We start from the raw sequence: 27,115 nt of genomic DNA, 5'->3' as shown, positions 1-27,115 counted from the left end.
TATCTTAATTTTTGTATTTTTGAGACAGGGTCTGGTTCTATCGCCCAGGCTGGAGTGCAGTGGTGCCATCACGGCTCACTGCAGCCTTGACCTCCTGGGCTCAAGTGATCCTCCCACCTCAGCCTCCCGAGTATCTGGGATTACAGGCAAGTACCACCTCTCCTGGCTAATTTTTTGTATTTTTAATAGAGACAGGGTTTGGCCATGTGTCCCAGGTTGGTCTCCAACTCCTGGGCTCAAGGGATCCAATTGCCTTGGCCTCCCAAACTGCTGGAATTACAGGTGTGAACCACCACACCTGGCCAAGGGGGGCTATTTCTAAATATTTTTTGTAGAAATGCAGGACTTGAGATCCAAGAAAATATGACTGAAATTGCATAAAGATCTTAGCAGCAGTGTTACCTTTACATACCTACACACCCCACCATGATTCTGAGCAGTATCCTCAAACTCGCTCATCCTCCCACTCCCAAGCCATGAATGACCCCTGCTGGCTTATTTATTTCTTTATTGTATTTTAAGATGTCTTCATCCAGGCAGTTCCCCCACCTTGCTGTGCACCCCTTGATAATCTTGTCACATTCCCCCTCCCTCTTCATGCTCACTGCTTAATGGGCATCCCATGCCCTGGTCATTCACCTGGGCTGCTCCTCGGTGCCACTGTGGCTCCTCCCACTTCCCCAGCACTTGGCCCCCTCCCCTTGCTCTATAGGTCCACAGTGTACCTCCGATTCTCTGCTAGTTGGATGGGGAGGATGCAGTAGTAGCTCAGGGCTCTCTGCTGCAGTTCCTGGACAGCTTCTAGCTCTATGCCCAAAGCCCACTCCAACCTTCCCCATGTCCTTTTTCTGAGCTGTTCCATGCCCTTTACACGTACTCGCTGTCTGGATGCACCATCGTCTGCTTCTCTTGCCCCTCCCCTGTGCTCGTGCCCACTCCACGCCCTGAGATCCCTTCTGTCCGAACTTTCTCTTCCATTCCATCTAAGAGCTTTGTGCATTTTAGTTTCTTCCCAGGAGTCTCCTTGGATTGAGAGAAAAGAAAGTCATTTTTCCCTATCCCTCAACCCATTCATCCTTGCTTAGCACAAAGCCAGCACCTCGTGCTGGGCATCCTGCCAGGCATAGTTTATTTTGTACTCGGGCGCTGAGCTCTGGTGTCTTCCTGATTTATTTTGTGGTCTGTGTGTCTGTCCTCTGCATCCATCTGCATAAGCATGGCTGTTTGAGGCTGCAGCCCCTTAGGCAGGCATTTAATAAAGCTGAGCATGACGAGAGAAATAAATGGCTGTATTTTGCAGAGCGCAGGAGGGCTGGTGCGCACCAGCCGGGCTGGGATGGTTGGGATAAGGAGGTGACTTGTATTTCAGGCTTCTCCTCCTTGATGGGAACTTCGGGCCTATGTGAGGGGAACTTCCCGGCTTCCACCCAAGCCTCCGCATCCTGGGTTGGGGTCAGCGATGCCAGCTTTCCTGACAGCCCTGTACTAACCTCCCCACCTACTACCTCCCCAAGAAACAGCAAGGGGCTGGCTGCGGTTCAGTGCCTGTCAACCAATTCAGTGGGAAGGAAACATTAAACACTCCAACACTGCTTATTGGAGCTGGGTAAACTCAGCACACCACAGTTTACTTTGCTGTCAGAAATCCCTTAGCTTACCACAGAGCAGAACCCCCAGAGGACCAGGACTCCCAATGTCCCCCCATTCCCCACCCGCCAGGAGAGAGCTTACCTCTCCCTCTTCCCAGCTGAGACCCTTCTGTGTCCCTTTCTGCACCTCTGCCCCGCCGCCCCCTCTAGCTCTCATGCCTTCATATTTCCCCTGCCTTACTCCTCCTTTCCACCCAGCTCAGCCCTGTCCTTCCTAAACCCTCCTTCAGGCTTGGTGTCTTTCAGTAGCCAAATAAATTTCAGAGCACGGAGATGGGAGCCAGCACAGATGAGGTCCAGGCATTTTTTAAGGGGTAGAGTGAGATCAGGAGTCACCCTGTTTCTTCCCTCCCCACCCAGACTCCACACAGCCCTGGGCTGTGAATCACTGATTCAAAAGGGCCATGAAGTTAGGCAAAGGTGCAGAACTGTTATGGGGCTGGAGGAACATGCAGGTGGCATGAGGGCCATTTGGGTGACAGCAAGAGGAAGCAGCGCTGCTCACTCCTTCTCCAGGTAGGTACTTTGAGGGGTTATGAATTAGGAATGTGGGTGTCATATATTTGGGACCTAGCTTTGCATGAACTTGAACTCAAATGTTCTTCAACATAACAGCTACAACCTCCCTGGGGGCCGCCCCTGACCCCCACCTCTCCTAAGAAATTTGCAGCCTGGGCCAAGGTTTTTCTCTTTGGCTCCGCTTGGAAGTGCAAACCTTGTGGATTTGAGATGAAACATATGCTGTTCTGGAATGTGGCTGTTAGCCAAGGGAATGCTCAGAGGCCCCTGCAAAATTTGTAGCCATCTGCCTGGGGTTGAGCTGGGGGGGTTGTGACAGAGCATTTGGGGCTGGGAAGGAGCCATGGAGGCTGAGGGTACCTTCCGTTCCTCTACCCCACTTAGGACCAGTGCCTCTCTTATCATTCAAGTGGATCTCAATGTGCTGTATTCCTCCCCTGGGGAGACCCAAACCAGACTCACCCTCAGATGCCGTGGGCCGAGTGACTGGCTCCAAAGGGAACAGGTGCCAATTAGAATGGCATTTTGCATATTCTTTGAATGTTATTCATTTCCTGCCAAAAGACACAAACTTTCCCTCCTCCCTGCCCCCGTCCCGGGAACCCACAGTGTTTTCCGTTCTTCCTCTCCAGCTCTGTTCCACTCATAGTCCCCGTTTCTCTGGGGATTTTGCTGACCCTTCTTCTGGAGCTTCTCTTGGCCTCCCAGGCCCTGATCATCAATGTGGAAACCCCCCAGTAGATGCGTCTTCAGGCCCAGACTTCCCTCTTTGGAGTGGCCAGACAGCAAATGCTCAGACCCCCTCCTCCCCGTCGAACAAGCTCAGAAATCAGTTGCCCGGGAAGGCCCTGCCTGGACTTTCTTGAATAGCTGCAGGTCTAGGCTGGAAAGCCCCTGAGGAGGACTTATCACAGGGACTGGGTGTGTTGTGGGAGAGAGGCAGCTGGCAGAGGCCCCACCAAATTATGGGTTAAAGAGCTCCATTTGAAAGCATTTCTGGGAAGTTGTCAAGTGGAGATGGGGGAGGCTTAGGGAAATCTTAGGGATTGAAAAGAACCCTGGAGATGATTTCATTCAATGCTGTTTATTATTATTAATAACAATGGTTTTTAAATTCATTTTTAACTTCTGGAGAATCTAAGACCTAGAGGAAGAAGGTCGGTTCCCCGGGGTCATGGGGGTTAGCAGCCGAGCTGGATGACAAGCCAGGACTGCCAACTCCCAGTCCAGCGCTGCTTTCACAGGACACTGTCTCTGTAAGTGCTCTTAGGAGAATGTCACCATGTCCCCAGCATGCTGTGGAGGTGGCAGCTGCATCAGTGGACCTGCTGCTTCCCTGGCCTTTGAGCTCCAAGCCCAGCCTCTGCCGAGACAGTCACTGAGGACGGCTATTACCTGTCCCTCGGGTGAATCCCAGAACCACACAGGGGGTGCATCAGGCACACCTTGGGTGGAATACCAGCTTGGGTTGCTTCTCAGAGAAGTTGTTTCCCACTTTCAGCCCCTGCTACCTTATATGTGTTTCATACCACATGCTCTGCTCCTCAGCCGCGGCTAACTAGACCAGGAATAAGTACCCAAGGCCAGCCAACGTGTTGGCAATAAACAGCCATCCGGTTTTTCTCTCTTAAGAGTTTGAAATTAAAAAGCAGACTCTGTTTGGTCATAGGGAGCTCAAGTAAATGTCATGATCAAGGAGGACTTACTTGTTAGGGCCATGTTATAAAACCATAGGCAAACCAAAGTCACGAAGAGAGAAAGGCTGAGCCAAGAGACCACAGCCCAGGAGGAGAGAGAATGACGAGGCCGGGTACTTTGCTTAATTAAAGTCTCATATCCCTCATAGTTATCTCTACATCCACTTTTCATATGTGTTCCTGTGAACTGAGTTCTGCCGCTTGTGACTAAAAGCACTTTGGCCAGATGTGATGAGGTTGGGAGCATCTTCGCAAAAAGGTCCCAGATGTGATGAGGTTGGGAGCATCTTCGCAAAAAGGTCCCAGATGTGATGAGGTTGGGAGCATCTTCGCATAAAGGTCCCCCTAAAAAGCCCAAGCAATAAAAGAGTGGACAATGGCTACTAATGGCCCAGGCACATCCCCACTCTATCAAGGCAGAGCTAGGGCTTTGGAGTGGAGAATTAGGGATTGGTGATATCCAGTGGGATGTAGAGGGGAGAACTCAGCCACTGGTGGCTACTACTCCCTTCATCTTCCTTTAGGAAAATGCTCAAATGCTCTGGGGTAACCCTACCTTGAGAAGCCCTCTGCATCCTGTTTCACCTCCTTGAGAATGTGCAAATGAATGACACTCTTACCTTGAGGGGAAACCTCCAGTGTGTCCACTGCTATTGACCAGGACTATCCTCCTCTTCCCTGGAAATAACACTGTGTGTGTCTATGTGTTGGGGGATGGCAGAGGTCGGGGCTGCGGGGAACAGAGATGATGGAGGCATGGTCAGCTGATTGCCAGGATGTGAATTTCAGGGGTTAAAGGCACTCCATCTAACTTGGATCAACGATCCCAGGGCTGTTGAAGGAGATGACAGGCCCATGTGTGTGCCCACACTGGCTCCAAGCAGAGAGGAACCAGTTCTACCTCAAGACTCCCAGGCACCCCCGATCTGGAAGACAGAGCTCTATCTTGCTGCAAAGCTACATCTGCCCACCAGATGAGCAGTACCTGTAAAAACTTCCCACATCAAGCCTTGTGGGGCTAATGCCTCTTCCAGAGCCGCTGACAACAGGAAAATGATCCTAGCACTGCACTTCCCAAAGGACTCAGAGATTCTTGCCCTGGAGCCAGGAATGGGGAGTTTGATGTTGTGTTGTCCACAGACATTCCAGAAGGAAAGGGTTGCAGTAGGAGAAGGCCTGGACGAACAAGAGGAGGGACCAGGGAACAAAAGCAGATTCTCAAAGAGGTCAATATATATTGGCTAATTGCTTAATATTGGTAATAGTATTAATAACAAAAATCCCTACCATTTACTGAAGGCCTTTAGCATGCCAGGCCTCTTGCAGACATCGCTCCAATTCATTCTCACAGCCTTGCAGAATATGTATTACTTTCCCCATTCTACAGAAGAAGAAACTGCTACTCCCAGAGGGTATGCTTTCAAAGATCACAGGGCTGCCACCAAGCCTGCTGCTTCATGTCTGAGTGAAACAGAGCAATCTCCCAGATAACAGGAGACGGGTAGGTGGAAACATTTCTAAAATGGGGCTGAAGGAGAGCAAGTAAGCGCCAAACCTCGGTCCCAGCCCCTCTTGGAATTGAGTTAAAGAGAAAAGAAGAGCTAAGAGCTCAGCGTTCCTGAAAGCAGCATGGGTGTCTTTTTTAATAAACACGCCAAAGCTTGACTCTCTGAAAAGCGTGCCGTGCCTTTGAAAGTGGGCCCCTTGGAAAGCTGTGTTCTATCAGAGCTGCTATTGCTCAAAACATTTTCAGAGCCTCCTCTTGGGCAATGGCCTTCAGGGCTCACAGCACATTCCTTTGAAAATCTTCAGACCAGGCGCCGTGACTCACGCCTGTAATCCCAGCACTTGGGGAGGCCAAGGCGGGTGGATAACCTAAGGTAGGGAGTTCAAGACCAGTCTGACCAACATGGAGAAACCCCGTCTCTACTAAAAATACAAAATAGCCAGGCGTGGTGGCACATGCCTGTAATCCCAGCTACTAGGGAGGCTGAGGCAGGAGAATCGCTTGAACCCAGGAGGTGGAGGTTGTAGTGGGCCGAGATTGTGCCATTGCACTCCAGCCTGGGCAACAAGAGTGAAACTCCGTCTCGAAAAAGAAAAAGAAAATCTTCAGTGTGGCAAATCTTCCTCTTCATCCTCTGGGGCAGATTTAATTTGGGGGCAAGTGCCAGGAATCACTTCAGAGTTGAGTAAGCCAACTGGGGTGTCTTATTTGGGGTCCAAATGAAGTGCGACCCTAAGGCAGAAGAGTGCCTTGTGTGGTAGAAAACCCAGTGGAGCCCTTGGGGACAGGTTAAGAGATTAGCCCAGGAGCCCTGGAGCGAAAGAATGGCCTGCACCCTTGCAGGGGGTGCAGGGGAGGCCTTGAGCGAGATCTGAGGGCTCTTCATAGAGAGAGACACAATCAACCCTAATCAGGGCATAAGTGAAAACACACGGTCCCATAAAGTGTCCTGGGAAAGATGCCACGTTAATAAAAGAGAAAAATGCAGAGGAATGGGTGAGGAGGGAGCCGTTAAGAAATTGCAAGTGCCTATAAACTCTGCCCTGCAGCCCCCACCCCCGCCCCCAATCATGGTTCCAACTCGTTTTTCGTTAGGACTCAAGGAAAAAAATCTTAAAGAAACTAGCCCGTTTGTAGAGATAGCAGAGGACGGAGCTGGCCACCTGACTGGAGTCTTCCTCTGCTGAGCCTCTGTGTCCCCTGCCTGGCGGCTGCCCTTCCACAAGTCTCTGGTGTGACCGGCCTTGAGTTACGTTCCTCATTACATAGTACGTCTTACTAGAACTGCCGTCTGGCAGGCCAGGATGCTGGGTGCAAAAGAAGAGGGTTACAGTGGATCCGGGTGCAGCAAGGACCATTGTTTCTACTCTGGGGCATTTCTGAAACACTATTTAAGTAATAGGAGTCATTTTCTCCTTTATATCCCCAAATTGGCCTTGGGGACCAGCTAATATAGTGGCAGCTGGCCAAAGCCTTATCACATTTCCAGGCTCCAACCAAACAGGAAATGGGATTCAACTGTAGGCAGAGCGTTAGTTCTCAGGTGGGACTTCCTGATGGTCAATAATCAGAAAGCAAGCATCAGCAACAGTTCAGAGGGAGGGAGGAGACTTTGTCCGTACAGCGGAGGAACTCCCAGTTTACGGAGTAGGTTTGAGAGACACTAACATAAGCAAAAAAAAAAAAAAAAAAAAAGAGAGAAGGAATATGCCAAGGTCACTACATTGGCAAAGATTGTCAGGTAAGCATGGAATATTTAGAAATCTGGGGAAAGGCCAGGTGTGATGGCTCATGCCTGTAATTCCAGCACTTTGGGAGGCCGAGGCGAGTGGATCACTTGAGGTCAGGAGTTCGAGACCAGTCTGACCAACATAACCCTGTCTCTACTAAAAATACAAAACTTAGCGGGCATGGTGGCACACATCTCTAGTCTCAGCTGCTCAATTTGGATGGCTGAGGCATGAGAATAGCTTGAACCCAGGAGGTGGAAGTTGCAATAAGCAGAGATCACATCATTGGTCTCTGGCCTGGATGACAAAGCGAGACTCTGTCTCAAAGGAAAAAAAAAAAAGAAATCTGGAAGAAAAACAAATGAGAATGCATAGCCTAGCTAGAGTCTCATGGTATCAGTTACAGCAGTTTTAGGGAGATGATAAGTAGTCTTATAGCAGAGATGTGATGCCAGAAAAGAACTGGAGTGGCTGTGGAAATGGGGAAGGACATAGGAACGTGGTGACAACTCTTGCCATGCTTCGTAATTGTGGGGGACAGCTGAGCGGGGGAGATAGGCAGGAGAATGTGTCTTGCTGAAGTGGGGAGTTCACACTGGTACAAGTAATACCAGTAGTTTGTACAAGTGGTTTGGCTGCAGAATGGAGAGTTGTTCTTAGATTTTTGTCCTGAAAGAAGTCACCTAGGAGGCTGCAGAGTTACCTTCCCAAAGATTGAGAACTGAGCTACACTCCTGTCCTTGTGCCTGGTTGGCATGTCTGGGAGCAGTGTCTAACGGGCACTTGGTCCTTGGGGCCCCTTCCAGCTGAGGAGGTTTGACTCCTTGCTTTGAGATGATGGCGAAGCTCTTTCATCTTTCCTGCCCCCAACCCCAACTGCTGGGGGCTCGGGTCAGATGCAAAGCCGGGCTGACTGTCTTCACTCAGGAATCTGTGCTGAGACCCAAGGAACAGGAAGCAGCTGAGATGCCTCCAGTTAATACTGCAACCGGAATACCCTCCGCAAGAAGGCTCAGCCGGGAGACCTGACAGAATCGGCATTGTTCAGCCAGACAGCCGGGAGCAGCTGCAGGGCCCCCTGGGTCTCCCTAGCACTGGGGATTGTGAATAACCTTCATCCTGGGCTCACAGACATCCTGAGGAGATCAGGGAAGTGCCAGCCTGTCTGGTACCGGGTTGGGCAATAATCATTGGTCAAAGAGGATCAAGGACAGAGGCCTTTGGGTGCTTATAATCCTACCCAAAAGAGGTCACAACATGTTGTGGAAGGACAGATAAAAGAAGCCAGGAATGAAGGGACCTGTTCAGGCAGAGGTGGGGGAAAGGGTCTTCCTATCATCACTGGAGCAGTTAGCTAAACGCTCACCCTTCTCAGCCCAAGCTCCGGATGGCATTCATAGTGCAAGAGTGAATTTGCCATTGTCTTGAAAAATTGTTCCTCCCCAAGAGGGAGCCCAACCAGGAATTACATCAAAGGATCATAGTTCTAGAGCTAGAAGTGACTCCAGTGATCACGCAATTTATCGCCTTCACATTGCAAAAGTAAGGTAGAAAAGTGAGGTAACTGACTCAAAGTCACACCCCTCATTAGTGGCAGAGCCAGAGCTTAAAACCTGGATCTCCAGACTTGAAGGCCAGTGGTCAATCCATTGCTGGTCTGCATAAAGCTACTTGACCCAGCCCTCCAGAGGCTGGCATGGGTGAAGACTAAGGAGGAAGTAGCAGGAATTGGACAATATAATGGGTATACGTAAGTACAAAGTGATCAACTTACAAATGAAATGCAAAGTTACAGGAAAATGAGCCTTACAGATTTGGGAGTAGTGGAAAGAGGACTGGACTATGTATGAGTCAATAGACCTTGGTTTAGGTTCCCCTTCTACCACTTGCTCACTACGTAACTGGGAGAATTCTACTTACTATCTCTGAGCCACGATTTATTCCTCTGTTAAATGGGGCTAAAAATATTGTAAGATTCTTATGAGAAATAGCATGTGTAGAAGTACTTTGCATCCAAGAATGTGTTAGGCAAACGTTAGCTGTTGTGGTAATTACTGGGATGATCCTAGGGTAGGTTTCTGAGTTTGGAGGCTGGAATCGATTATGGCTGGGATACTCCTAGTTCTCTGAGTTTCCCAGTGGAAGAGGGAAATCTGAAAATTGACACGAGTTGCTACTTCATCTTAGCCAGCTTCGGATTCAACAACGGGAGCTGAATTAAGCAGGGAAAGATCTAAGCCTGAATGCAAGCTCAGCCACACAATGGGGAGCCTTACCATGAGGGGTCCCAGGCTCCGGTTTCTGCCCTGAGAATCCTGGCCTTCCCTGGGAGGGTGCCTCTTGCAGAAGAAATGAAGCCTGATACCTCTCAACCTGAACAGGATCCCTTGGAGCTGTCAGGAGTGGGAGGCATGGAGTCAGGAGAACAGAACAGGAAAGGGGGCTGCCAGCGTGAGGCCCACATTCTTTAGCCAAAGCCACTTGAATATGAAGGGACAGTGGGACCCACAGCATCCTCCCTCACAGGCCTGGTGGCACCACCCTTGACTTTTGATACCAGGCTTGGGTGCAAAGGTGTGTCTCAGGCATTAAACTAGAGAGTGCAGCCTGGGATACCTGGAAGGGGAAGAGTTTGGAGGTCTGTTGTGATCCAGCTCAATGCAGCAGCTTGTCCTAGGTAAGAGCCCTGCTGTGCGGGCTGAGGTCATTGCTGGCACGAGCTCCCCACTCACTGCAGACGCCTGCAGTCTGTTTTAATATCTGCAGCAACCACATTCCTGAGCAGGGTGGGTAAGAGCCTTTCTGGACAAGACTGCTTTCCACCAAAAATTATTCCAGTTCACCAGAGGCAGATATTTGAGAGAGAGCTGGATTTTTTATTTTTTAAGGAGGAAAATAAAAATTCAGAGAGAATGAGTAAAGGCAGGAACCAAGAGGAGAGCAAGGTCCTGAGGACCGGGGAAGGGAGGAGGGACCTAGGGTCGTGAGGGAGAGAAGACAGAATATACAGGCAGTGGGTGCTGGGAAAGAGCTCTCTCTTTGGATCTAGCCTGTCTAGGCCTTTCTTAGGTCCTGATGAGTTTACCTGTTACCATCACCATTCATTCATTCATACACTCAACTGACACTTGACTTCCACTCCATATGCCAAATGCTGAGCTAGGAAGACAGAGAGGTTGTATTAGCTATCTATTTCTGTGTAACAAATCCATAATACATCATGGTTTAAAACAACACACTTTTATTATCTCACAGTTTCTGTGGGCCAAGAGCCAGGGCACAACTTAGCCAGGTCCTTTCTTTAGAATCTCTCACAAGGCTGTAACCAAAATTTTGGCCAGGGTTGGCATTTCGTCTGAAGGCTCACCTGGGGAAGGATCCACATCCAAGTTCACATGTTTGTTGGCAGAATTCAGTCCCTTGATGGTTGTTGGACTGAGGGCCTCGGTTCCTAGCTTGCTGCTGGCCAGAGGATGCTCTCAAATCCTTGCCACGTAGGTCTTGCCAACATGGCAGCTTGCTTCATGGAGATATGCAAGCTGAGAAGGCTGGAGAGAGGGTCAGCCAGCAGAACGGAAGTCACAATCTTTTGAAACCTGAGGAAGGAAGTGACATCCCATTGCCTTTGCCATATTCTGTGGATTAGAAGCAAGTCCCAGGTTCCACCCACACTCCAGAGGAGGGCTTTACACAAGGGTGTGGAGGCTGGGAGACAGAGACCATCAGGGACCATGTTAGAGGCTACTTGCCCCCAAGTCAAAGTTGTTTTTGGCCTTCGGGTAACTCAGAGACAGCAATAATGACAATTATAATAGTAGTAGCAGTACAATAGTAATAATAATGGCAAAAGCAATGCATTGAATACTTACAGTATGCAGGGGCTGTACTAGCTTGTCATATATATATATAAATATATATATATTTGCTTATCTAAATAGAGGGGTATCACACACACACACACACATATACACCTGTATATACATATTTGCTTTTAGTTCCTTTTTTTTTTTTTTTTTGAGATGGAATCTCGCTCTGTTGCCCAGGCTGGTATGCAGTGGTTCAAGTGATTCTCCTGCTTCGGCCTCCCGAGTGGCTGGGATTACAGGCGCCCGCCATCACGCCCGGCTAAGTTTTTGTATTTTTAGTAGAGATGGGGTTTCACCATAGTGGTCAGGCTAGTCTTGAATGCCTGACCTCAAGTGATCCACCCACCTCGGCTTCCCAAAGTGCTGGGATAACAGGTGTGAGCCACCGTGCCTAGCCTGCTTTTAATTCCTAAGTAGGTATCATTATTATCCTCTTTTTAGGCGAGGGAACAGGGTATCAGAGAGAGCACAACAGTGAGAGATCTAGGAGTTTTTAACTCCGATTTATCAGACTTCAAAGGCTTTGCTCTTACTCTCTTCATGTACATGCCTCCCAGATGAATGGCAGTCTAACCCGAAAAGTGCTGTAATGGTCCCTCTGTTTAGGGGTACGGTGGAAGGCTTCTCAGAGGCAGTGACATGGAGGGAGCCCCCTGTAATAACAGCAGCAGGACCCGAGGGGGAGTTCAGGGAAAGGAAAGGAAAGCGACACAATCCTTTGCTCTTGAGGAGCCCTTGAGGCTCAAGTGAGGGCCAGACCCAAGGAGAAGCCTCAGGGCACTAGCTGGGAGCAGCGGCAAGTGCAAGCGAACAGCTGTTGGAGAGCTCCTAGGAGAATGTAAGCCAGTGGCTGTTTAGATTAGTTTTCTAATTGGCCGAGTGTTAGCAAAGCCTCTTGTGTATACAGTGGGAATAGTTAATCTTGTCTATTTGTATATCCACTCATGTTCTGTCACTCCCTGATCTTCTCAGCTATCTGCCTCTTACTGTGGGTTTTAAGCCAAGAGAGGGTTTAAGTCCATGGGACTCTTTCTATGCAGCCCCTAGAACCCGTGGGCAGCAGGAGGAGAGCCACACAGTAGAAAAAGGTTCAAGTGCTTCCCCCACTCCATGCTGCCCTTGTCCCCACAGGCCTGCCTGGCCATACAGCCCCACTTGTCCCCAGGTGGCCTCCCTTCCTGCAGTGCTCATCTCCCCAGCACACCACTCCAGTCACTAGAACACATACATTTGCACAAAGCAACCATATGTCACCTCGCAGCTTCATGACAAACCTGGAAGTCAGGTTTTATTATTCTAAGTGAGAAACCAGGAGAGAGGTTAAGCGACTTGCCCAGTGTCACTCACACAGCTGTGTGTGGCTGAGCCAAGGTCAAAGCTGGGTCTTGTGCTCCTTTATTCTCTCGCAAGGGCTTCTGGTCTGGCCCGTCCACCCCACACACCATGTTCACATGTTCATCATGCAATTCCTTGCTCAGGAAGCCGTAAAGCCTCCTCCACTGACTGCCGCCGCAGCCACAGGCTTCTGCCTCCCTTCCAGGGCCCTTGAGTATTTGCTTCCCTTTCCTTGCCATGAACCCATCTCCCCTCTACAGTGGGTTCCATGCTAAGAAGGCCAGGTTCCCAGACTCCCTGAGACATCCCAGGTTTCTCAGTTCCCTCTCTGATTAGACTGTTGCTAGCTTTATTTTTATTTATTTTTTGTTTCATTTTGTTTTTAAGATGGGAGTCTTGCTCTGTCACCCAGGCTGGAGTGCAGTGGTGCAATCTCTGCTCACTGCAACCTCTGCCTCCCGGGTTCAGGGGATTCTCCTGCCCCAGCCTCTCGAGTAGCTGGGATTACAGGTGCCCACCACCATGCCAGGCTAATTTTTGTATTTTTAATAGAGACGGGGTTTTGCCATGTTGGCCAGGCTGGTCTCGAACTCCTGACCTCAGATGATCCACCTGCCTCGGCCTCCCAAAGTGCTGGGATTACAGGCGTAAGCCACTGTGCACTGTGCCCATCCTGTTGATAGCTTTAGATTGGGGACCAAGATATAAACATCTCCCATCACACGCCAAGCCCAGGCACATGGAAAACGTGTGTGGCTTATTGATAATGAAGAGAGAGAAAGATGAAGATAAGGTAAGGGGGACTTTGAGGGATATGAAGGTCTTCTTTCAGATGCAGAGTCCTCCCCTCTGACTGAGGGACCTCCTGCCTAAGACATTATTCCCTTGCCTCCCCACATGTCTATCTTCAGACTCCAGGTGTCTGTTAACGATTTTCTTCCCTTCATGACCTGAGTGTGGTCAAAACATCTCTTTGTAGATGTTCCAGGCTCAGCCAGTCAGACATGCACTTAAACGTACAAATTTTTGGAGACATGGTGAGTGGAACAGGTGTGGTCATAGGTCACAAATGGGACATAATGGCAAGAAAAATGTCCACTGTTCAATAGCATTCAACACATAAGACTGATGCTACCAGATTTGTTTTGGGGAATACCATTCAGAGAATTTAAAGAAATGACTATACAAATGGGATAAAAGGTAGTTAGAGAGGTATTGACTTCCCCAATCTCTTACAGATCTTATAAATAGCCATAACACTATTGATTACACACTTTCTGTTTGCCACTGTAGTAAATGCTCTATAAAAATTATCCCATATTTAGTCTTGAAAACAGTTCTATAAGATAGCGTAATATTATCCCTGTTGGAAACTGTGGTTCATAGAGATTAAGTTGATTGTTTAAGACTACACGTATAGTGTAAAAGTCAGGATTAGAACCCAGAATGCCTGACCCTAGAACCCTTGTCCTTAATCTCTGATACCAAACGGACGGCCTCCATGTTTCCCTGTTTCTTTGCTGAGAGAGATTCATTAAAAATGCCTTTTGCTCCTCTCTGGCTGAGACTTGCAGTAAGAGGGAGAGAGAAGAGAGAAGCCCCACATCGGGGCTCCTCCCACTTTTTAAATAGGGGGATGGGGTCTGGGTTCCTTCTTACCTAGCATAGTCCTCTGCCTTAAAACTTCGCAAAAGTGGGCAGCTGGTAGAGTTGCATTTTTTAAATGCTCCAGGCTGTGTCTTCTTATCTCAGAGAGGCTTGATTTACTTTCCTCTATCTTTTCCCAGTCCAGGGCCCCGTGATGGATTTCACCTTGGACATTTGCCTTTGGAACGGTTGCTCCTTGCCAAGAGCACTCCCCCAGAGACAGATGGAGAAGGAGACAGCTCCGTGGTTCCCGTTCTGGGACTGGCCTTTTGCCTCCTGCCTCCCACAGCTCAGGTGGAGAGAGGAGGGCCCTGCCCTTACCGACTGGAGAGCATCAGGTAGGACTGCTGCTTAGCAAGAATAAAACTGAATTTCTGCAGATTTGGCCTGGGCCTGCTCTCACTTGAGATGTGTCAGGGGAACAGGAGAAGAGACAATAATAGTAAAGTGGTATCGACGTAGCGTTAATACTTTCCTCTTTGTTATGACTATTCGTATGTCTTTTCAAATTTAATCTTCACAGTAACTAACTGAAACAGCTTTTGTGTTCCCTTCTCACAGATCAAGAAACTGAGGGTCAGTGAGGCTAGGATGACACGGATGTGGAGGAAGGGCTGGCTTTCCAGCCTGTCTTCTGACATTAAATCTGTGTGTCTTTTATGATGCATCAAGGAGGAACGCATCTCCCCCATGGCTTCCTCTCACTTTTGTTTCTTCAAAAGAGATAGAGTGTGGCTCAGATTAGGGCAGCTCATCCTTTTCCAGTGGTGGATGCCAAGGGAGAGAGTTTAGCCTGAAGGAAGGGTTGTCGTGCTGAGCCAAGATCAGGGTCTACACCAGGCAGACTCGAAGTGGGAAGTCACACTTACAAGGGAGCGGGTGGCCAGCCAGCCCCCTTTGCTGTGCTTGGAAGAGAATAGCAGTGAAACAGTCTCTCCACAAAGCACTGGGATATGGTTTGACTGTGTCTCCACCCAAATCTCATCTTGAATTGTAGCTCCTATAATTCCCACATATCACGGGAGGATCCTGGTGGGAGGTAATTGAATCATAAGGTCAGATCTTTCCTGTGCTGTTCTCATGATAGTGAATAAATCTCATAAGATCTGATGGTTTTATAAAGCAGAGTTCCCCTACACAAGCTCTCTTGCCTGCCACCATGTGAGACGTGACTTTGCTCGTCATTTGCCTTCCTCCATGATTGCGAGGCCTCCCCAGCCATATGGAACTGTGAGTCAATTAAACTACTTTCTTTTATAAATTACCCAGTCTCAGGTATGTCTTTATTAGCAGTGTGAGAACAGACTAATACACATTTAAATCTTCAGTAATCATCATGCTCTGGGTAACACACAGTCACATAAGACTAGAATTCAAGAGAAAGGAAAGAAAGTAGCATTTTTGAGGTCTCCTGTGCAGTAGGCATGGAACTAGGGAGTTCACATATTTTGTTTGATTTTCATAACAGCCTTATAAGATGGGCTTTACTATCCTCATTTCAGAAGAGATTGAGGCCCAGAAAGATTAGATAATTTGCCTGTGGTCTCATTGCTAGTAAATAGTGGAGGTATAATTCAAATCCCAGTTATCTGTCCCTGCATCTGTTAGTAAACTAGAAGCTGGTCTTTCACATGTCTCCTGGAGAGTAGGGAGGTCTCTCTTCCAGAACCCAGGACAGTGCCTCACAGACCATAGCTTAACCTGGTAACTTCTACTTCCTAACCCATCCCGCACACATCCTGAAGATGTAGTGGGGCAATAGGTAGAGTTAGCAGAAGGAGTTCAGGTTGTTAGTCAGAAAGAACCCCAGAGTTCCCCTCTGGCTTCATGTCAATCTTTTTTTTTTTTTTTTTTTTGAGTTGGAGTCTTGCTCTGTTGCCCAGGCTGGAGTGCAATGGTGCAATCTCGGCTCACTGCAACCTCTGCCTCCCAAGTTCAAGTGATTCTCCTGCCTCAGCCTCCTGAGTAGCTGGGATTACAGGTATGCACCACCATGCCCGGCTAATTTTTGTATCGTTAGTAGACACGGGGTTTCACCATGTTGGCCAGGCTGGTCTTGAACTCCTGACCTCAGGTGATCTGCCCACCTTGGCCTCCCAAAGTGCTGGGATTACAAGTGTGAGCCACTGCTCCTGGCCATCAGTGTTTAAAGACAGGCACTGTGCCTTTTTCACCTTTGAGTTACTGGTGGCTGACAAATAGCAGGGGCTCAAGAAAGGTAAGCTACTGACTTTAACTGAGGAGACTTGTTTTTTTTTGTTTTTTTTTTGTTTTTTTTTTTGAGATGGAGTCTCGCTCTTTCACCCAGGCCAGAGTGCAGTGGCGCTATCTCAGCTCACTGCAAGCTCCGCCTCCCGGGTTCACACCATTCTCCTGCCTCAGCCTCCCGAGTATCTGGGACTACAGGCGCCCGCCACCACGCCCAGCTAATTTTTTGTATTTTTAGTAGAGACGGTATTTCACTGTGTTAGCCAGGATGGTCTCGATCTCTGAGAAGACCTTAAGGTTAAGATATGAGAACTTCAAAATCATAGAAGCTACAGTTGCAGATTGGCCAAAAGCATATAAATTCACTGGACACAACCCAGTGAAAAATAATGAGGAAAGGGGAATTGGGCAATTGGATGGAAGGCCTGGAAGTAGCTGCTACAGAATGTGCATCTGCAGGGATTCAGGAGACCCGGGTTCTAGTCCCAGCTCTGCCACTCACCAGCTGGGGGATCTTGGGCAAGGTGCTTCCTCCCTGTGAACCTCAGTTCATTTATTTGTAAAGTGAAGGATGGGGGCCGTATTCTAAGATCCTTTTGATTCCCACATTCTGGGAGTTTTGAATCATTACTTGCCTAAACACCTTCCCAGATTCCTGGGGAAAAGATAAAGAAGGTTGTTTCTTTTTAAAAGCTTATTTTTAAAAAAATTGACAAGTAAAACTTGTGCCTATTTATGGCATATAACATCATGTTTTGATATATGTATACAGGCCAGCATGGCTAATTCAAACTATTGAACATATGTATTATTTGACATCCTTATTTAATGGTGGTTAAGAACATGTAAAATCTACTCTCTGAGCAATTTTAAAATATAAGATATATTGTTTTGAACTGTAGTTGCCCTGATGTACAATAGGTCTCCTGAACATATTCCTCCTGTCTAACTGAAGTTTTGTGTTCTTTGATCAATATCTCCTCAATCCTCCAACCCAACAGCCTCTGGGATCCACCATTTTACTCTGTTTCTATGAGTTGGACTTTCTTACATTCCACATATAAGTGACATCACGCAGTCTTTATCTTTCTATGCCTGGCTTATTTCACTTAACGTAATGCCCTCCAGGTTCATCTGAGAAGGTTGTCTCTAGAAACAGAAAAGAGTTTCACCTCCAACCAGGGTGACAGGAGCAGTCCTACCTGAGAGCCAGAGATGGACTTGATGGCATGAGCCAGATCTTTTCAAGTCTGGGGGTGTTGCTGGTTTGAAAGTGGACATGGTACCCCATTTCTAAACCTCAGGCTCTCTGGACAATGCAGCTCAGCCTTCAGCTCCACCAGAGAGGCTGCAGTGTGTGAAGACAGCTCATTCTGCGGGAGGAGGAAGAGCAGAGAAACCACCACCCTATGGGTCGTTCTCAGATCCCTCGTGTGCTGGCTGTCTCCCACCCAGGCTCAGTTTGCACTGCTAATCTGTTACGTCTTTCTTGGTAATTTAGCACTTTCAGACAGTTATTGTTAGATTCTGTTTATTTTTCTAAACCTCACAAAAAAACCCATAATACAGCAAGGGAGAGTGGGAGGGGGAGTTTTTCTAGAAATATAAACTCAAGATTCAAATGCTCTTCCCCATCTGCAGGGCAGCTGTTGTGGAGCCTGGTCCATCCTGAGCACTCCAGTGTTCCATTTCAAGGATCTCTTCCTGGCTCCCCTCCCACCAGAGAATGTGGCCTTGGGATCAAGGCGTGGAGAGCTGCCAGCTACTGCCACCTGCCACAAAGCCTCATCACCCTTGCGTATCTCTCTCCCCTCTCCGTCCTCGGCATGGGGTCACATTGTGGGTCATTATTTCCTTTCACCAAGGTATGAGCAGAGGGAGAGAGGGCTGGAAAAAGAGACTCTCCCTTTGCTAACTGATGAGGGAGAAGTATGGGGTCCAAGTGGGCCTGCCCCTTGCCTAATTTTTGCCCAATTTTTTGGCCTCTGGAGTCCCTGGTAGACTTCTTAACTTCTTGCACACAAGGTTACCATGTGTCTAATTGCTCAGCTCCAGTTAGAGTGGTGGAGGGAAACTGGTATCAATGAATGAATGAATGAATGGATGGATGGTTTAATGACAGCTTGGAGAACCGACTGGGGTTTGAGCAAGAAACAGGAAGAGAAAGCCAACATCTTTTAGCTCACCAAATACTTTCATGCCCCTTGGGAGGAAGAAAAATGGATATGGGAAATGCAGAGCATGGAAGAGCTTAAATTGAGCATAAAGGACATAAAACTAGATAAGTAAGATCAGAAATAAAAGATGAGTCATCATCGAATCCAAACCTTTACATTTTCAGCAGAGGGTGCCAAAACCTCAAGGGGATAGTGACTTCCTTAAAATTACAGAACCAGAGTGAAGACTGGGGTCTTTTGACTCTTTTTTTTTTTTTTTTTCTGTCCCTAACAAAATGTTGCTCTTTTCTTCTCCATACTTTTATATTTTCAAACTCATTTATTCCAGAAAATTACCTGCCTTCTAACCTGGAGTTCCTCTTTTTTGATCTAAAGAAGTTATCCAAACTTACCTTGAGCTTACTGTCCTTGAAGCCATTTTGGCCTTTGTTTTGTGGCCTCAAGGCTGCCCTCACTTAGAAAGGATGAGTGACGGTAGCAGAAGCCAGCCAAGCAGGGCCAGTTTCTCCCAAGGCTGGCCCCATGAAAGGTTTGGCTTGGGTTCTCACCAGGGTCCACAAGTCTTGCCTCCTAGAAGTTTGGTCCAGTGGTCTGCAGTCCTGGGAATTTATGCCGTCTCAAACAGAGGTTTTCAGACCTTGCCTGATGATCCAGGGACTGGAACTGAACACACGTTGTACCTCTTTATAGCAACTTGGGTGTCCCAAACAGGACCCATCACTTCCAAGTCCCAGGCTAGGATTTTCTAACCAAGTATGTAGTTAGAGGAAAATTTAATCCACATGTATCTGACTCACTGATCTTTAAATCATCCTAGAGTTTGATTCTGGGAATGGTTTGATGTGTACTCTGCTTTTTTTCAACTTTTGGATTGGTGCACTGGCCAAGACATAATAAATAGCAACCCTGAGAGAGAGAAGGAAGCTTCAAGTAGAGGCATGACCTGCAGGCTCTTCCCTTCGTCCCAGCTGGAGACAGGCGCCCAGCAGGAGTAGAGAGTAGGCCAGAAGCCCAGAAATGTGCCTTAGGTTAACCTCACCCTCAGCCTCCTCTTCTGCTTGTATTTCTGGGATGCAGAGCCCGACTAGGGAAAAATCACTCAGCCTAAAAGATGGTAACACCACAGATTTATGGCATCTGATCTTTGTTGCACCCTCCAGGGTACAAACTAATCCCAGCTTGTGATTCCTACTGTCATCTAAGGTCATTCCAGGCCTTTTCCACTCTTCTGGAGATCTCGAGCACTTTTTTTCAACAATTTCTCATTTTGAAAAGAAAAAGGAGTCCATCAGGAAAGAATTTCCTCCATTGCCTGCGACGCTCTACAAACCTCCATGCCTCAGCCACCCTCGTTTTCCATGAGGTCTCCCTGTCAGGGCTGGTTCCTCAGATCTCCCCCCAGTAATCCTCCTTCATGAAAACCTCAGAGTCTCAGAGTCTGTTTCCGCTGATGTGAGCTAAGAATGTTTCAGGAAGAGGGGTATGTCATCGGGATCCCATTTCTTCCTGTGTCCTCCGGGACCTTGCTCTAAGGTCCTCTCTTTCGTCCTGAGACTTTTCTGAATCTTTAAGCTCCACCTCTCCTTAGCCATACATACTCATTCAAGTATTTCCCGTACTAAAAAACAAAATGAAACCTTCCTTCCACCTGAAGTCTCTATGACCCCTCATGTCTTCTCTTTTAGTCAAGCCTCTCGTAAGTGTCCCCTGTTTTTTCTCCCTTCATGTCACATTGACTCCACAACGCATTGTAGCCTGGCATGCACTGTCATCACAGAAATGCCCTCTGTGGGTCAGGCACGGTGGCTCACGCCTGTCATCCCAGCACTTTGGGAGGCCGAGTTGGGCAGATCACCTGATGTCAGCAGTTCAAGACCAGCCTGGCCAACATAGTGAAAACCCATCTCTACAAAAATATAAAAATTAGCTGGGCATGATGGCAGGTGCCTGTAATCCCAGCTACTCAGGAGGCTGAGGTGGAAGAATCACCTGAACCCGGGAGGCGGAGGTTGCAGTGAGCTGAGATTGTGCCATTGCACTCCAGCCTGGGTGACAGAGTGAGACTCCATCTCAAAAAAAAAAAAAAAGAAAAAAAAGAAAGAAATGCCCTCTGTGAAGTCATCAGGGACCACCTGTAGTCACATTTCAGTCTTTTCCTTACTGGACTTGTCCAGCAGTGTTTGACATCATTGACCTTCCCCGCAGTCCTGACATGCTTTGCCCCTTCGTGCTGCGTGACACTGCTCTTTCCTGGATCTCTTCTACAACTTTCTAAGATTCTTTTCAGTCTCCTTTGTGGGTCCTCTTTTCTCCAGTAGATGCATGCACATTGGTTGGGATTTCCCATGGCTACCTGTGGCTATCCAATGCTGTCTTCCCTCCTCCCTCTGCACACTCCCCACTTCCAGCTAAGCTACACCCTCATGCCCATGACCCCAGATCTGCATATCCAGCCAAGGACTTTGTTCTGAGCTCCACCTTAAGTTCTCTGAGACCAAAGCAGGACTCTTGCTTCCCTCTGAGTCTGCTCACATTTCTGAAGATCCGATCCTGGAGAAGGGTGTCAACATTTCCCAGGCCTTCTGCCTCATTCTTAACACCCAGTCTGTCTTGCCAGGTTTCCTGCTTAAGCATGCATCTGCCCACCTCTAGCCCACCCCCCCCAACTCTAGCCCACCTCCCCCAGCTTTTTTTTTTTTTTTTTTTTGAGATGGAGTCTTGCTCTGTCACCAGGCTGGAGTGCAATGGCGAGATCTTGGCTCACTGCAACCTCCGACTCCCAAGTTCAAGTGATTCGCCTGCCTCTACCTCCCGAGTAGCCGGGATTACAGGCGCCGCCATCTCGCCTGGCTAATTTTTGTATTTTTAGTAGAGACGGGGTTTCACCATGTTGGCCAGGCTGGTCTCAAACTCCTGACCTTGTGATCCTCCTGCCTTGGCCTCCTAAAGTACCGGGATTACAGGCGTGAGCCACCATGCCCGGCCTCTAGCCCCATTTTGGCTTCCTTAGATCAGGCTCTCACTTCTTGCTAGTCTCCCAGCTGGTTTCCCTTCAGCCTGTCCTGACCATAGCCGATCCATACTACCCATAGCCCCAAGAATGGTCTTTTTATAAAATAAATCTTGTCCATCACTCCCTTACTTAAAATGCTTTAGTGGCTTCTCATCACTCAGGGTAAAATCTAAATTCTTTAACATAGCATTAAAAAATCCTTTATGCTCTGGTCCCATCTGTCAGCCGAACTTCATTTCCCCCGCCAAGCTCTCCTCTTTAAGCCATAGCAGCACTGCCATTCATTGTCCGAACTCCCAGAACACAGCAGGCTTTCCTGTGACTCGATTTTTTTCTTGTGTCTTTGCATTTGCTCCTTCTTCTACCTACACTGCTCTTTCTCCACTTGTCCACCAGAAAACCTCCTATTCAGCTTTCCAGGCTCAACTCATGCCCTGTCTCCTCCTGGAGGCCTTCCCTGATTTCTCAAGGCAAATTCGAATGCTGTTTCCCCCACCTCCCCCTTCTGCATTCTGTACCTGCCTCCACTGCTAATGAGCATACTCGGCTGTGATTGCTTATTTGAAGTAGGAGCCTCTGCCCACCCCTGGAAGCCTAGACCTGTTGAAAGCAGTGTCTACACTTTTCATCTTTGTATGTCCTATACAAAGTATAGGGCCTGGCATATAATAGGCACTCAATAAACTTTTTTTTTTTTTTTTTTTTTTTGAGACAAAGTCTTGCTCTGTTGCCCAGGCTGGAGTGCAATGGTGCAATCTCAGCTCACTGCAACCGTGCCTCCCGGATTCAAGGGATTCTCCTGCCTCAGCTGCCTCAGTAGCTGGGATTACAGGTGCATACCAGTGCACCTGGCTAATTTTTGTATTTTTAGTAGAGACAGGGTTTCACCATGTTGGCCAGGCTGGTCTTGAACTCCTGACCTCAGTTGATCCACCCACCTCGACCTCCCAAAGTGTTGAGATTATAGACATGAGCCACTGCGCCCGGCCTACATTCAAGAAACTTTTTGTCGTTGTTGTTGTTGCTGTTTTTGAAACGGAGTTTCGTTCTGTTCTCCTAGGCTGGAGTGCAGTGGCATGATCTTGGCTCACTGCAACCTTCGCCTCCTGGGTTCAAGTGATTCTCCTGTCTCAGTCTCCTGAGTAGCTGGGACTACATGCACCCACCACCATGCCTGGCTAATTTCTATATCTTTTAGGAGAGATGGGGTTTCCATGTTGGCCAGGGTACTCTCAATAAATGTTTAATTAGTAATCATGCCTAGCTTTTATGGAGCACTTTCAACGGGGCCAGGCCAAGTGCTAAAGCGTTTTAACATCCCTTACATCACCGAGTTCACACAATCACCACTACCAGATGAGGTAGGTGTCATTATCCCTGTTTTAAAGATGAGAAAACTGAGACTGACAGAGGCTAGGTAACTCTCCCAAGCTAGTAAGTGGCACAGAAGAGTCACGAACCATGTTCTTCCCCATGAGCGCCTGCTGCTATTTGCAGGCAGTTACACAGGTAGAGTTTCAGGATGGCGAGTTCTGCGTCTGCTCTAAGGAACTGCCTTGCACACAGTCTGTCACACCCCAGGCCATTTAGTGTTTCCCTGTACCTATCAACTCAGGCCTTGAGGCCTGCACTTGGCAAACAAAATGTAGGCATTCCCTCTTCAGCCAGTCTTTGGTCCCATATCAAAGTCTTTTCTTGCCAATAGGGTCCCATAGTTGCTGCCCAGACCCTTCCTAGATTTGCTGCCCGATGTCCTAGTCTCCTGGCTGTGAGTTCAGCCTCCTGCCCATGCAGACTCACAGTCAGCAGCGCTCTGTAATGCTTGATTTCCCAGCCTTGTCTAGCCAGTAGTTGGTTGCAAGCCTTTAGTTCTGAGGAGCAGCCCTGGTCCACAGCCTTGGCTCTGAGCTGACCGCTTCCCGTGTAGCCCCAGGACTGTCAGCCTGCCAGTCCCCTGCCCCTGTGCCCTCCTGGCCTTGCTCTGAGTCTCCTGGCCCTGAGTGCCGTGTCTGCTCACATGGACGGCAGCTCGGGCCAGACAGCCAGAGAAGACAGAGAGGTGAGGGGACATGTAGAAAAGGCCCATAGTGTCTCCCAGCGAGGGCTATGCGGGTCTCCAGGAGTCCGGGCGAGACTGCCTCCTCAGGGTCCTCACCCCCACACCTGCGACCTAAAAATGCACGCCTCTGTGCCTCTACAGCCACCAGCCGGCTTTATGGGCTTTCTGACTTTGTTTTATTCCCCAATATTTTGTTTTCTTTTTAAAAATATATATTTTAATAGTTTTGGGGGTACAGGTAGTTTTTGATTATGTGGATGAGTTCTTTAGTGGTGATTTCTGAGAGATTGGTGCACCCGCCACCCGAGCAGTGTACACTGTACCCAGTGTGTACTCTTTCATCCCTCACCCCCTTCCCACCCTTCCCTGCAAGTCCCCAGAGTCCCTTCTACCATTCCTATGCCTTTGTATCCCCATAGCTTAGCTCTCACTTATAAGTGAGAACATATGGCTTTGTTTTCCATCCCTGAGTTACTTCTCTTAGAATAATGATCTCCAGCTCCATCCAAGTTGATGCAAAGGCCCTTATTTTGTTCCGTTTTATGGCTGAGTAGTAGTCCATGGTGTATATATACTACATTTTCTTTTTTCTTTTTTTTTTTTCGAGACGGAGTTTTGCTCTTGTTGCCCAGGCTGGAGTGCAATGGCATGACCTCAGCTCGCTGCAAACTCCGCCTCCCGGGTTCAAGAGATTCTCTTGCCTCAGCCTCCCAAGTAGCTGGGATTACAGGCGTGTGCCACCACGACCAGCTAATTTTGTATTTTTAGTACAGATGGGGTTTCACCATGTTGGACAGGCTGGTCTTGAACTCCCGACCTCAGGTGATCGGCCCACGTCGGCCTCCCAAAGAGCTGGGATTACAGGCATGAGCCACTGTGCCTGGTCTACCACATTTGCTTAATTTGCTTGTTGGTTGACGGGCATTTAAAAGGCTCCTCTTTTTTTAGAGGTAGGATCTCACTATGTTGCCCAGGCTGGTCTCAAACTCCTGAGCTCAAGCAATCTGCCCACCTTGGCCTCCCAAAGTGCTGGGATCACAGACATGAACCACTGTGCCCAGTCCCCAGCTCCATATTTTTGCAATTGCGAATTCTTTCTGTGCTTTCTTCTTAGCCTCCGTTAGTTTCTCACTATGACAAAGTTACGGTGCAAGTAAAAGAAATATGCTCTTGCCTGACAGGATGAATATTCTGCATTTAGCTTGTATTGCTATTTTATTGAATAATTATTGTACCTGACTACAATTATTATATTAACAGTACTCTCTTGACTGACAAGATGAATTTTTTCATTCAACTTTTATTGCTATTTTAATGAACAATTATTGTACCTGACTACAATTATTATAGTAACAATATGCAGTCATTGAATAAGGCTTGGGCTTTGGAAATATACAAAGTACAGATTAATCTGAACAGTGAAACTTTTAAATGATAATGCCTCAATTTTGTAGGTCGTTTTTATTATAATGCACTTTCTCACATATTCTGCTTCAACTCCGTAAATATGTTTTTTCCAGCTTTAACAAAGGGTGGGATTTTAAATCATGCCATCTCTGTCAGTCACTGTTGAAGGCAAGGGTGCTAGTGCTGGCGTCTTTATATATGCCATCTTATTAATCTTTACAGCAATCATGAAAGAGGGGAATTTCCCCCACTTTATAGAGAGAAGAAATGAGGTAAATTGCCCAGTCCTCCACAGCTAATAAGAGAAAAGCTGAGATCTGAAACCAGATCTGCCCGAAGCTCAAGCTTTGATGCCTCTGCTGTGCCACTCTGCCGGATGCCAGGCCTGTCTTGGTCTGTAGCTGTCTCTCAAGGCAGGAATGGATGCTACCACCACCCCTGCCTCGGTGCGCCTGCATTTTCTTACGTATTAAACACAAATTCCTGGGGGTAACTTCCAGTCTCTTTGGCCTAAGTGATTTTTCCTGTATTGTTCCCCTAGATTTAATACAGGCCTCCAGGTAACTGACATTTTCATCTGACTTCTTGTTAGGGATACCTGGCACTTACTGCAGGGCTGGCAGTCTCAAGACGCCACCCTTCCCAAGGAGAGGGCAAGGATACCTCCTGGGAAGCTCCCAGGGAAGGGTAAAGGCCAGCAGGACCTTGCTGAGAAGGTCCTTCCAGGACTAAGCGGGAGGCTTTACTGCCCAATTGTCATCTCTGAATCTGCCATCTGGGTGGTGTTTTCCCCCTTAAACTATCCCGGCCCCGAAGGGACACAACTGTGAAAAGAATCCAGAGGATGGGGGGAGGGGGGGCCTCTGTGGGGAAGTGGAAAGGATTTGGGGCCCGAGTTCTGATCTGTGAGGCTCTGTGAGGCCTATCCTTGGGGTTCGGGTCACCCCCTGCTTGCGGGAGGTTTTGCTGGTTGAGCCGGTGACTGGATCATGTCGAAGGTTTTTTTACTTCTGTAATGTTCCAAGTGTCTAGAGTCTCATTCCGGTGGTCCCCTCAGGATGAGTGGCTCCTAACAGAGCACCCCCCACCCCCCCCGGGACTGGTGGGCTGCCTGAGGAAGCTCCAAGCCTGGGTCCAGGTCTCTGTGCACCTGAGGCCCCAGCTCATCCCCACACCCAGGCAAAGGGTGACAGTCTCAGGCACTACTCTGATGTAGCCTGTTTGAGGCTGGGGCCCAGTGGGAGCCGCACGTGGGACAGGGAGCAGTCCCCGGTTCCAGGAAAGAGCACGAGCAAGTGTGTCTGAGTGTGTGTAAGCGTGTGGTGTTTATTTATTCTAGGAGCGGTTGCTAAGTCAGACGTGTTTGCCAGCAGAGGGCTGCCTGAGTGCTGTGTTTGTTTACTCAGCACAGTGCAGGGAAGGGTGATCGGACAGACAAGTGCAGGCTACAGCCGTTTGGTGGGGGGCACATAGCGTGAGATGAGAATTGGTCTTGGGGGCCGTCTGGCGTGGTCCCATTCTATGGGTGCTGCTGGCTGTTGAGAGCTGCCTTCCGGGACACAGGCCCTGCCTTCTTTGATGTGCCAGCGGCTCTCTCACTGACCCTCCTCCCAAGCAGGGTGGAGCTGCTCATTACCCCACAGGGCAGTGGGCCCTCCTTCCCTTCATGGGGCTGGGGGAGGGTTCCTGGCTACGGGGTCTCGGGGGTCCCTGAGAGAAAGTGGATAAAATGTGGGCAGTGGTATGAGGAGGAGACAGTGGGTTCTCAGTCCCATTCCTACCCTGTCCAAGAGCTTGTCCACCCTTAGTTAGGCTTGGCCTTTCCAACGGGCGATCACATCTTACCAAGACTGAAGTCCACTGCCTCCTAGTCTCCTGTCCTCAGTCTTCCAGGTTATAGATTGGTTATATATTCCCTATCTTCAGGAGAGAGTGAGAGACAGAGAGAGAGAGAGAGAGAGAGAGGAGGAAGGCAAAACAGAGACCCTCCTGACTCCCTGTCCACCCTCAGCCACAGGCCAGAGGTAGGGACTGGCTGAATTTCAGGGTCAGGACTTCCCAGCTGGGTGGCCCCAGAGGCCTCTGCCTCCCTCTTCCTGCCCTAAGGCCCCAGCACCACGTCTGTAAGTCTCTGAGAGAGCCCTGGCTCCCCCGACACAGGCTGGCTGGCAGCCAGGGGTGGTGTTCTGGCTCCTGTACCAGCCAGATGGGGTGGCAGGAAGGCCCTGTTAATCCCCAGGGAGAAAGCTCCTTGGCAAACAGAAAAAAAGTGGCTGCCGGCACTATGTCCCTACCCTGGGA

General features: G+C 48.6%; 1 protein-coding gene and 2 long non-coding RNA genes across 4 annotated transcripts; 1 reads left to right on the top strand and 2 right to left on the bottom strand.

The window, feature by feature from the left end:
- The first annotated feature begins 1,640 nt into the window (after window positions 1-1,640).
- LOC105369591 (uncharacterized) lies at window positions 1,641-18,478 on the top strand. 2 transcript variants are annotated; one of them, XM_017018656.2, is made up of 4 exons: window positions 1,641-2,165; window positions 14,091-14,288; window positions 17,481-17,650; window positions 17,800-18,478. In XM_017018656.2, exons 1-4 carry the CDS (start codon window positions 1,939-1,941, stop codon window positions 18,027-18,029), a joined length of 825 nt encoding a protein of 274 aa, XP_016874145.1. In that variant the 5' UTR covers window positions 1,641-1,938; the 3' UTR covers window positions 18,030-18,478. The 2 variants fall into 2 exon arrangements, with proteins under 2 accessions (XP_016874145.1, XP_016874144.1); XM_017018655.2 differs by having other exon boundaries at window positions 17,463-17,650.
- Window positions 4,467-6,794, bottom strand: LOC124902783 (uncharacterized). The gene is made up of 3 exons (XR_007062937.1): window positions 5,153-6,794; window positions 4,851-5,041; window positions 4,467-4,595 (listed from the first exon to the last, which is right to left on the bottom strand). It is a non-coding gene; the product is annotated as an uncharacterized LOC124902783 (long non-coding RNA).
- On the bottom strand, window positions 10,324-18,823 carry LOC124902784 (uncharacterized). The gene is made up of 2 exons (XR_007062938.1): window positions 18,728-18,823; window positions 10,324-10,698 (listed from the first exon to the last, which is right to left on the bottom strand). It is a non-coding gene; the product is annotated as an uncharacterized LOC124902784 (long non-coding RNA).
- Window positions 18,824-27,115: the final 8,292 nt, after the last annotated feature.

The sequence above is a fragment of the Homo sapiens genome, chromosome 11 (assembly GCF_000001405.40).
Source record: "Homo sapiens chromosome 11, GRCh38.p14 Primary Assembly".
Lineage (NCBI taxonomy): Eukaryota > Metazoa > Chordata > Mammalia > Primates > Hominidae > Homo > Homo sapiens.
The sequence above is the reverse complement of the archived record's forward strand: the minus strand, read 5'-3'. Positions and strand labels throughout refer to the sequence as shown.